We start from the raw sequence: 10357 nt of genomic DNA on the forward strand, positions 1-10357 counted from the left end.
TGGTGGATTTGGGATGTCTGGGCAGGAAGCCCTCACTCCCTGGTGGATTTGAGGTGTCTGGGCAGGAGGCAACCCTCTCCCTGGTGGATTTGTGGTGTCTGGGCAGGAAGCCCCCCTCCCTGGTGGATTGGGGGTGTCTGGGCAGGAAGCCCCCACTCCCTGGTGGATTTGAGGTATCTGGGCAGGAGGCCCCCCCTCCCTGGTGGACTTGGGGTATCTGGGCAGGAAGCCTCCCCTCTCTGGTGGATTTGGGGTGTCTGGGTGGGAGGTGCCCCTCTCCCTGGTGGATTTGGGGTGTCTGGGTGGGAGGTACCCCTCTATCTGGTGGATTTGGGGTGTCTGGGTGGGAGGTGCCCCTCTCCCTGGTGGATTTGAGGTGTCTGGGCAGGAGGCAACCCTCTCCCTGGTGGATTTGTGGTGTCTGGGCGGAAGCCCCCCTCCCTGGTGGCTTTGGGGTGTCTGGGTGGGAAGTGCCCCTCTCCCTGGTGGATTTGGGGTGTCTGGGTGGGAGGTACCCCTCTATCTGGTGGATCTGGGGTGTCTGGGTTGGAGGTGCCCCTCTTCCTGGTGAACTTGGGGTGTCTGGGTGGGAGGTGCCCCTCTATCTGGTGGATCTGGGGTGTCTGGGTTGGAGGTGTCCCTCTCCCTGGTGGATTTGGGGTGTCTGGGTGGGACATACCCCTCTCTCTGGTGGATTTGGGGCGTCTGGGTGACAGGTACCCCTCTCTCTGGTGGATTTGGGGTGTCTGGGTTGGAGGTGCCCCTCTCTCTGGTGGATTTGGGGTGTCTGGGTGGAACGTACCCCTCTCCTTGGTGGATTTGGAGTGTCTGGGTGGGAGGTACTCCTCTATCTGGTGTATTTGGGGTCTCTGGGTGGGATCCCCCTCCCCTGGTGGATTTGGGATGTCTGGGTGGAGTCCCCCTCCCCTGGTTCCTGCTCTGCTGTTCTCTTTGCCTCCCTTAGCTACTGAGTGAGTACCGTCTATGTTGACTTCCAGCTCAGGGCGTCCTGAGCTTCTGGGACTTCTCATTTTTCTGCCGAGCTGCCTTGGGAAGGGAAAAGGGAGGCGACAGCCCAGAGCCAGGCCTGAGAACCCCCAGGGGCAGGAACTGTGCTGCAGAAGGCAGATGGTCTGGGGTGGTCGCAGGCCCACGGCTTGGAGAGAGCAGCAGCCGCAGCAGGGAGCCAGTGCGTGAGAAACGTGAATGTGGTTGGCGGATGCTCTCAGGGGGTCACAGGCGGTGTCCCAGGAGTGCTGATGGGCGTCACCAGCCCTGGGGCCCCAGGACGCAGGCCCCGCCTCCCGTGAACCGACTTCACCTGCAGGTGGCGCTCCAAGGCCAGGCGTGGCGCGGGCTCATGCGGGGGCGGGGGGATTCGTGCGCGGGCGGGGGGCTCATGCGGGGGCGGGGGGATTCGTGCGCGGGCGGGGGGCTCATGCGGGGGCGGGGGGCTCATGCGGGGGGCGGGGGCTCATGCGGGGGCGGGGGCTCATGCGGGGGGCGGGGGGATTCGTGCGCGGGCGGGGGGCTCATGCGGGGGCGGGGGGCTCATGCGGGGGCGGGGGGCTCATGCGGGGGCGGGGGCTCATGCGGGGGCGGGGGGCTCATGCGGGGGCGGGGGCTCATGCGGGGGGCGGGGGGATCATGCGGGGGCGGGGGCTCATGCGGGGGGCGGGGGCTCATGCGGGGGCGGGGGCTCATGCGGGGGGCGGGGGGATTCGTGCGCGGGCGGGGGGCTCATGCGGGGGCGGGGGGCTCATGCGGGGGCGGGGGGCTCATGCGGGGGCGGGGGGTTCATGCGGGGGCGGGGGGCTCATGCGGGGGCGGGGGGCTCATGCGGGGGCGGGGGGTTCATGCGGGGGCGGGGGGCTCATGCGGGGGCGGGGGGGCTCATGCGGGGGCGGGGGGCTCATGCGGGGGGCGGGGGGCTCATGCGGGGGGCGGGGGGCTCATGCGGGGGCGGGGGCTCATGCGGGGGGCGGGGGGGCTCATGCGGGGGCGGGGGGCTCATACGGGGGCGGGGGGCTCATGCGGGGGCGGGGGGCTCATGCGGGGGTGAGGGGGCGCACCACGGAGCCGCCTGCAGGGGCTCGGGGGCTCTCATTGAGGGAAGCAGCTGCCCGGCCCTGGAGGTCCCACGCCAGGCCATGGCAACAGGGTTAGCATTACAGGGCAACGTCTCAGGCTGAGAAAGCAATCGGCCAAAACTCCGGCCCTCCTGGCTCCCTCAAGGAAGCCTGGCTCATCTCCTGTGTGGATCCCTGAGTCCTGCACCCCAAGTGAGCCCAAAACAGGAGGGCCAAGCCCACAAACGTCCGTGGGCAGCCGGCCAGGGAAGGTGCCGTTCAGGCCCCATGCGCTCGGTCCGGGTCTCAGGACACACAGCGCAGAACCCGGCGTGGGCCTTGGGGCGTGAGGCCAGAAGCGGAGTTCACGTGACCTCAAGGACACCCTGCCGGACTTCCCCAAGTGCTGGCCAGGCCTTGGGGGCAGCTGGGCTCAGGTCCCCCTTGTCACTGTTGGAAGCTGGCCCTGCACCCACTACACTCACCAGTTCCTCCGTGGGGTCAGGAGGCTGGGGAGACCCCTCAGGGCTGGAGCCCAGTGTGGGGGCTGCTCTCCATCCAGGGCTGGAGCTGTCAGGGTGCTGCCTGGCTGCTCCCTCCACCCGGGAAGGAATGAGGCCCTCCCAGCAAGCTCTGCTCCCCTCAGGCCCCAGGCTGCCCAGAGGCCCCCCAGTCAGCCTTTCTCAGCCAGAAGGTGTTCATTTCTGTGCACCTGGGAGAACGCAGGCGACAGCCTCCAGCGCCCTCCAGCCCTAGCCCAGGGGATCCTGCTCCTTCCTGCACCTCCTCCCTCAGGCATCCTGTGGGGGACAGCACGAACACCTGGCCTCTCCTGGCCACTGGAGGAGGGCAAGGACAGGAGCCCCGCAGCCCAGCCCAGCTGCACGCTGCTGCACCTGCTGACACACCAGTGCCTCCCTAGATCCAGCACAGGGCTCTGCTCTCGGCCCTCCAACCACACCTCGGAGAGCCCCACTCTGTCTGTGGGTCTGCCTGGGGTCTACACCTCAGCTCAGGACAACCCTGAGGTCACCTGGACTCCGTGTCTGTCCCCACGCCCCAGGGCTCATGCCAGGTTCTGCATGTGGAGGGGTCGGGACAAATGCATAGCCACACCCACCAGGAGGAGGGTTTGAGGGGAAAGAGTTTGCAGGGAGGCCCCTGGGCCCCAGGCCACCACACTGTCTCCCCTAGGAGTCTCTGCCTGGAGGGAGCAGCACAGGACCTTTCCTACCTACCCCCTCCCCACCGCCCGCCCCGCTCTGGACACAGGCTAGCTCCTGCTCGTTAGGTGAGTGGGAGGTCAGGGTCGGGGAGCAGAAGGCATGAAGGTGCCTTTGCAAGCTGGGCGTGAAATGTGAATATACCCTGAGAGGGTTTTCTCCAAGTATCCCAGATGTGGATAACAACTGGTTTAATGATGAAATATCATGGTGTTTTTAGCAAACAGAAGCCCCGCCTTCTAGTATGAGGTTTGGCAAAACTGTCAGATTAAAAAATAAACCCACAAGCAGGGCATGGTGGCTCAAGCCTATAATCCTAGCACTTTGGAAGGCTGAAGTGGGAGGATCACTCGAGTCCAGGAGTTCTACACCAGCCTAGGCAACATGGCGAGATTCCGTCTCTACTAAAAGTAAAAAATCTGCCAGATGTGGTGGCTAACACCACCAGATACTCAGGAGGCTGAGGTGGGAGGATTGCTTAATCCCAGGAGTTTTTGAGGCTGCAGTGAGCCATGATTGTGCCACTGCACTCCAGCCTGCACGACAGAGCAAGACCCTGATTCATTTAAAATAAATAAGTCCCTACAGCAAAGACTTCTCATGAGGTTGGTGAGGTACCTTACAAAATGACACCCCAGGAGGTGGCCTGGGGCTCTGGGCAGTGTTTAACTGTGGGAGTTTCTCATGGTGTCCATGGCTGTGTTGACAGAAAGGTGCTAGTCTGGCTGTGGGGCCCACAAGCATGGGCTCTGTGAAGGGAGACCCCAGCCTGGCAAGGCCAAGGGGCCCAGCGTCCACCCAGAGTGCCTCTGGAAGATGCATCAGGACACAGCTCGGCTGCCTCCCTCACCTCGTCCTCCTCCGCACTCAAACTCCAGAAAGCAATCAGAGAAGACTGCCGTCTGGGAGGTGCCTCTCCTGGACTGGAAGCGCCCGAGTGCCTGCTGTGTTCCAGGTGCCCGGACCCTAGAGTGGTGGGCTCGTCTCCAGCAACCTCCACAGCAGGCACCCTGGAAGACCCTAGGGCAGGAGTGCAGCTTCACCTCCCTGTGGACCAGCAGCTCCAGGGGCCTCCAGCTTTTAAGTGCTTCCCAGTCTGTGTGAGCTGCCCAGGCCAGGCAGGGGCCTCCCGGTCTGTGTTTGCTTCCCAGGCCAGGGGCTTTTATGGGAACGTAAGCTTTAGGACTCTTATTCTGTGACAGGCCACTTCACACTGCACCTCTTCGTGGAGAACCTCACCAGGAACGTGCCAGCGTCCTTGGTCGTGGGTTCTTCTGAGAGAGATCCATGTCTGGCCAAGCCGTTTGGATCAACATGGGGGAGGCTTTTCCTCTCTCCAACATTAGGACCTCAAGGGTTAACTTCAAGCCAGGAAATGAGGACTTTAGATCCTGGGAATGGCCTTCGGAGGAGAGAGCTTACAACCTGCTAAGCGAGGCTGCTATGTTGCCTGTGATCCCAGGGGCCCTGGGCTGGGTTCGGGTGTTGTGGATTGGTTCTCTGGTCATGGAGAACAGCACGGGTCTTGCTGAGAAACAGCCAGCTCCTTCAGAAACAGAAGGGTCACACATCCACTGTTTGGAAACCAAAGCAGTTGTCTGGGGATGGGATGCCCCACCCTAGAAATATCTTTGCCCAGATGCTGCAGCCACAGGGCCTCTCGAACCTGAGTCTGGAAGGGATTCACAGCCACTGCTGAGAGCCAGCCTGGCCCTGGGGGCTGCCTCGGCTCCCCTGCCAAGGATGTGGGAGAGCACAGGTTATGGGGTCAGAGGAGGCTTCAAGAGCAGCTACCTGGGAGCCACTCACCTGCCTGGCTTCTTCCGCATCACGGGCCTCAGCCAGATACCAGCAGGGGCAGATTGCACACAGAGCATGTGGGCACAGGGTTTGCATCTCCTACCTGGCCCTGAGCATAGCACAAGGCCTCAGGTGTACCCGAGGATCCCACTGAGGGCCCAGCTATACAAGTATCATGAGAGTGGTGGTGGTGGTGATCATTTTGCTGGTGATAATGGTGATGGTGATATGGTGATGGCGGTGGTGGTGATGATGCTGATAGTAGTGGTGATGGTAGGTGTGATGGTGGTGATGGTGGTGGTGATAGTCATGGTGGTGATGGTGACAATGGTGGGGATGGTGGTGGTGGTGTGATGGTGATGATAGTGGAGATGGTGGTGGCAGTGACAGTGATAATGGTGATGGTGGTGTGATGGTGGTTGCAATGGTGATGGTGATAGTGATGGTGGTGGGGTGATACTGATGATAGTCATGGTGGTCATGATGGTGATGGTGATGGTGGTAGTAGTGATGGGGGAGGTGGGATGGTGATCATGATGATGATGGCAGTAGTGGTGATGGTGATGGTGGAGGTGGTGGTGGTGATAATGGTGATGGTGATGATGGTGATGTGATAATGGTGATGGTGATGGTAGTGGTGATGGGGGTGGTGGTAATGGTGATGATGGTGATGGTGATGATGGTGATGGTGGTGATGATGGTGATGGTGATGGTGATGATGGTGACGGTGGTGACAATGGTGATGGTGATGGTGGTGGTAGTGATGGGGGAGGTGGGATGGTAATGCTCATGGTGATGATGGCTGTAGCGGTGATGGTGGAGACTGTGGTGGTGATGGTGATGCTGATAATGACAAAAGTGTTGATGATGGTGATGGCAGCTAACTCATGGAAGCTTTACTGGGGCTTGTGCTGTACTAAGTATCTCATTTAATATTAACTCATTTAATATTCAGTACGAGGCTACACGGTAGGTACCATCATATTTCCCACTTTACAGATGAGGACACTGAGGCACAAGGGAGGTGGCAGTCTCCCCAAGGTCACATGGCAGGACTCTAGCAGTTTGGCCTCAGAGTTTATGTGCCTGCCCAGCTCTCTGCACCACCTCGAGTGGAGTCTTGGCAGGTTCTGTTCCCAGCCGGTCCTTTGAGATACTGCCTCAGGGGATGTGACCCTATATCATCCTGATAACCCAAGGGGCAGGGAGACAGCTCCAGAACAGACAAGACAAAGTTGGCCTTGTAGACCCACACTGCCCTCCAAGGGCTTCCAGACTGGAGCAGAACAAAACAAACACTGCCCAAAGGATCTGTGGCCTGCTAGAAGGTCGAGGGTTCCTGGCTCAGCATCTGCAAAGATTGCCTTGAGCCCCTGCCTCAGACGACACGACAAGGGACAAGGAGTGTGTTCCCCAGGCCGGCCTCCCTGCCAGACACCTTGGAGGAGGCCTGGCGTGCTCCTGCTCCCTAGTCTGTCCAGGCTTCTTGAGTGATGAATGGTTGCTTACTGAAATCAGAGCAGGCCCTCTGTATTAAAGGCTTTATCCTGTCTCCTGCCTTCCACAGCTGCTGTGGGCAAAAGGCTTGCCATGAGGCGACCTGGGTCCCAGCCTCAAGGCCCATCCCTGCCTTTGGCCTCTGGGCACCAGCTCTGGAGAAATCTGTGGTCTCTGACTCATGGCTGTGTCCTGCGAGGCCTCCATCTTGACCAGACACCTTCGATGCATCTCAGGAGCACCTCACTATGCTGCATGAGACTTGCACACAGCCAGGCCCTGGTGAGCTCCAGTAAGATCAAGCAAGCCCAGGTGTGTTGGGGGTTGGGGGGATACCAGGTGATTCTGGAGCAGGCTGGACACAGGCCAGGCTGTGGCTGCACCTCAGTCATGGGGAGGCCGCTGTAAGCCTCATCTCGTGGAAGAGACCAACAAAGGCTGAGAACCTGCTCACCACTGCCCTTCCCAAGTCTCAGTGATGATGTAGTGCGGTAGGACAGTGCTGGGCAGGTCCAGGTCCAGCAGTCAGGAGGGCCCTCTAAGCTCGGACCTGGGGGAGCGACCCTGAAAGACGAGGGGCGGGCATGGAGCTGGTGATGCAAGTGAGCCAGGCTGCCAGGGAGGACAAATCCTGGAGTTCCTCCAAGGACCGCAGGGGAGGCAGACCCTGAGGGGAGGTGGCCTGCGGGGTTCCTGCCTTCCTCCCCTGCTGTCTCAGGGGACATAGAGGCCAGCCCCTGCTTCCTCCTCCAGCCACCTGTCCCTCCCTCAACTGTACCCCTTCAGGCCACCCATCCTGCCAACTGCTGGTCACCCACCCCCAGCCCCGGTGGAAGTTCCGGACACTCTCCTGTCCCCTTGGCTTACCCCATCTGACTGGCTGGGCCGTCCCGAGCTGGGCATGTCCTAGGCCTTGCTGCGGCTGTGCCTACAGCCAGAGGACCAAAGGCTTTAGGACCTTTTGTTTGGATCAAGTCTCTTGAAGACAAAGTCTAAAGACCTCGGAGGTGTCTCTTCCCACTCTTGGCCTTTTCACCCCAGCCAGGGGCGTACTCCCGAGGCTCCTCTCCAGCCCAGCCAGGCAGCTCAGGGTCCTCTCACTGTGGGCAGCACCAGCCCCAGTACCCAGGGTGCTTCCCAGAACTGGGCAGACCTCACTGACTGGCATGAGCAGGGTGGCCTCTGGGGAGATGCTCAGAGCAGCAAGCCTAGGACAGCCTCCCAACCCCCGAATACAGGGTCAGACAGGAGGGGATACCTGGGCTGATGAGGTCCCCAAGGACACCTGCACTTTAATCGGGGACTCTGGAAACTCCCATGGCCTCTTCTTCAACAAGCAGGTTGGAGCGGGGCGGGAAGCAAGTGGGAGCAGGTGCGGGGGCAGGGCTGCTGGGGGAGGCCCTGAACAGCCACCGTTTAAGTTGCAAAAATGGTCTCCCTGTCTGCAGATGGTCTTTTTTATACCTTACCTAGTGGAGAGCAGGTTTTAAAAACGGCTTCCAAGTTCACTTAACAATACACAGTAAATAGCACGGGCCAGAGGGGAAGAGGCAGAGGGAAGGCGGGCAGGGCAGAGGGAAGGTGGGCAGGGCAGAGGGAAGGCGGGCAGGGCAGAGGGGCAGGAGGTACCATGGGCCAGCCGTGCTTCTCACTGCCCTCTTCCCCTCTCCAGCCAGAGCTGCCAGCTGCTGGGTGCATCTGTCTGGCCCTCTGTGCCCCGGAACCCTCTTCCCCTGTCCTGCCCGCCGCCACCCAGCCTTGGTTCCTCTCAAAGCCCAGCAAGTCCACAGGTGGGTCCCTCAGCACACCCCAAACTGTTCCTCCTGCTGGCGTGGGAAGTCACCAGGAGCCCCAGGCGCACGCAGACACCTTGCAGAGGATCCTGCCCACCCCCACCCCCACCTCGGAAGCCCTTGCTTTTGCCCACCTGGTGGGGCCCTGGTGAATGCTGGTGCTCCCCTGGACACTCTTTCTGGATCCCTCCACCCACATACAGCCCCCTGTGCATTAGCCCCACCCCATGCTGGCCCCACCAGCCTGAATGCTGATTCACCCTGGCAGTCCCCAATGCTCAGAAAGGGCAGTGCCCAGCAGGCCTCTCCAGCAGGCAGGAAGAAGAGCCAAGCAAGTGGGCAGCCTCAGGATGGCCGCTCAGCCCAACCTGGAGCAGGGTGGCGAGGGGGTCCCTGCTGCCTGGCATTTTTCCTCCAAAGTCAGCCCCACCCCTGGAGGGGGCAGCTGCAGAGGCCTGTGGGCAGGACAGCAGGCAGGCTCCACTGCAAGCCTGGCAACCAGTGGGCAGGGGCTGGCTGACCCTGGAGAACGGGGCGCCTTGAGGTGCCTGAGGCCCCAGGAAGGGCTTAGTGTTGGCGGGAGCCCCAGGCCACACAGAGGAGGACAGACACTCACTGGGCTTCCAGGCCTCCTCTGGGACTGTCCCCGGCCAGAACTCTGGCTCATTCGGCCTCGGTCCCTACCCCTGTTCTAGCCGGACGGTCAGGTGTCCCAGGCCCCGCGGGCTCCCTCACTCCGCCCTGGCTCCTCTCTGAGGCTCCCACTGCCGCGCGGCCGCCGGAGGGCGAGGTCGACAGGCGCCAGCGACCCGACGGTCCCCAGTGGCACCAGGGGCGGTGGTCCTCAATTCCCAGGCTGGGAGGAGCCCTGCCCGGCGGCGCTGGGTCGCCAGGACAACTACGCGGTCCCCCGCCCCGCCTCCAGGCCTCGTCAGGCGCTGCAAGTCCGGCTCAGAAGCCCGGCCCGGGGCCAAGGTCACCGCAGCAGGCCGGGCCCCTGCGTTCTGAGCCGGGTGCGGACGTGCTGGTGCTCGGGGAAGTCGGGGGCTTTGACGCCTGAAGGCGCGGGAGCCGGGCGCCTGGGGGAAGGGGGTCCGGCGCCGTCACCTCCCACTCCTCGCCCGCGGGTCGGGGAGCCCCTGCCGCGGGGGAAGGAGGCTGTTTCCTTTGTAAACTGGCGGAGGCGCGCCTGGCCCCTGGGCCCGGCAACCCGAAGAGACACGCCCGAGACCTCCGGAGGGAGTTAACCCCCCGGGCCCCGGTGCCGGCCACCCCCAGGCGCGCAGGGTGGCCCTGAGCCGGGCGCGCGCCCGCTTGTCGCCCCGAGAGGCGCCGAGCCCAGTGGGGCGACCCAGTGTCCCGCCCCCCACGCGGCGAGGGCGACACTAGGCCGCTGCCCCCGGGCGCCCCGCGTCCCCTCCGCCTGCCCCGGCTTCCTGCGCGCGCCGCCCGGGACTTCCTCGCCGCAGTGCCCGGGGCCACCAGAGCCCAGCGCGGGGCGCTGCCGGGACACGCGGGCGGCCGACCCCAGGCGGGAGGATCCGGGCCACCGGGGAGGGAGGGAGGGCGCAGGGCTGGGCCCGGAGGGGGAGGGGGGCCCGGGACCGGCCCCAGGCAGGGGAGCGGGGGGATGGGGTCCCGGGGCTCCGGCCGCGGCGGGTGTCCCCCCCGCCGCCCCCGGGCTCGTGGCTCTCGGGTCCTCCCGAGCCAGGGGACACTCCCGGCCAGCGTGGGCCGCGAGCCCGGGCGCAGCCCCCTCTCCAGCCCGGGGGTCCGCACCGCGCGTCCGGCCGACCTCTGCGGGCGGGCGCGGCTTCTCCCGGGACGCGGCGGCGGCGGGCGGGGTCCCCGGGAGCGGAGCCCGCGGCCGCGCGCCCCCGGCCCGGCTCGGCTCGGCTGTGGCGGCCGCCCCAGCGGAGCTTTGTGACGTCAGGCGGCCGCGGGGCGGCGTCACGCGCGGGGCTGACCCGGCGGC

General features: G+C 63.6%; 1 long non-coding RNA gene across 1 annotated transcript, besides 7 other annotated features; it reads right to left on the reverse strand.

The window, feature by feature from the left end:
* Positions 1288–1407: a silencer, noted in NCBI's record as "silent region_2956". NCBI's record gives its function as "represses an Ori minimal core promoter by ATAC-STARR-seq in GM12878 lymphoblastoid cells {active_cell/tissue: GM12878}" and the evidence as "EXISTENCE:reporter gene assay evidence [ECO:0000049][PMID:35858748]".
* Positions 2715–3394: an enhancer, noted in NCBI's record as "H3K27ac-H3K4me1 hESC enhancer chr10:134203032-134203711 (GRCh37/hg19 assembly coordinates)". NCBI's record gives its function as "activates a minimal SCP1, AML or CMV promoter by ChIP-STARR-seq in naive H9 embryonic stem cells {active_cell/tissue: H9 hESC(naive)}" and the evidence as "EXISTENCE:reporter gene assay evidence [ECO:0000049][PMID:30033119]".
* LOC124902526 (uncharacterized) lies at positions 6002–9743 on the reverse strand. The gene is made up of 2 exons (XR_007062342.1): positions 7848–9743; positions 6002–7517 (listed from the first exon to the last, which is right to left on the reverse strand). It is a non-coding gene; the product is annotated as an uncharacterized LOC124902526 (long non-coding RNA).
* Positions 8305–8828: an enhancer, noted in NCBI's record as "H3K27ac-H3K4me1 hESC enhancer chr10:134208622-134209145 (GRCh37/hg19 assembly coordinates)". NCBI's record gives its function as "activates a minimal SCP1, AML or CMV promoter by ChIP-STARR-seq in primed H9 embryonic stem cells {active_cell/tissue: H9 hESC(primed)}" and the evidence as "EXISTENCE:reporter gene assay evidence [ECO:0000049][PMID:30033119]".
* Positions 8829–9351: an enhancer, noted in NCBI's record as "H3K27ac-H3K4me1 hESC enhancer chr10:134209146-134209668 (GRCh37/hg19 assembly coordinates)". NCBI's record gives its function as "activates a minimal SCP1, AML or CMV promoter by ChIP-STARR-seq in primed H9 embryonic stem cells {active_cell/tissue: H9 hESC(primed)}" and the evidence as "EXISTENCE:reporter gene assay evidence [ECO:0000049][PMID:30033119]".
* Positions 8829–9539: a biological region, named in NCBI's record as "H3K27ac-H3K4me1 hESC enhancer GRCh37_chr10:134209146-134209668".
* Positions 9160–9539: a silencer, noted in NCBI's record as "silent region_2957". NCBI's record gives its function as "represses an Ori minimal core promoter by ATAC-STARR-seq in GM12878 lymphoblastoid cells {active_cell/tissue: GM12878}" and the evidence as "EXISTENCE:reporter gene assay evidence [ECO:0000049][PMID:35858748]".
* Positions 9560–9989: a silencer, noted in NCBI's record as "silent region_2958". NCBI's record gives its function as "represses an Ori minimal core promoter by ATAC-STARR-seq in GM12878 lymphoblastoid cells {active_cell/tissue: GM12878}" and the evidence as "EXISTENCE:reporter gene assay evidence [ECO:0000049][PMID:35858748]".

The sequence above is a fragment of the Homo sapiens genome, chromosome 10, assembly GCF_000001405.40.
Source record: "Homo sapiens chromosome 10, GRCh38.p14 Primary Assembly".
Classification (NCBI taxonomy): domain Eukaryota; kingdom Metazoa; phylum Chordata; class Mammalia; order Primates; family Hominidae; genus Homo; species Homo sapiens.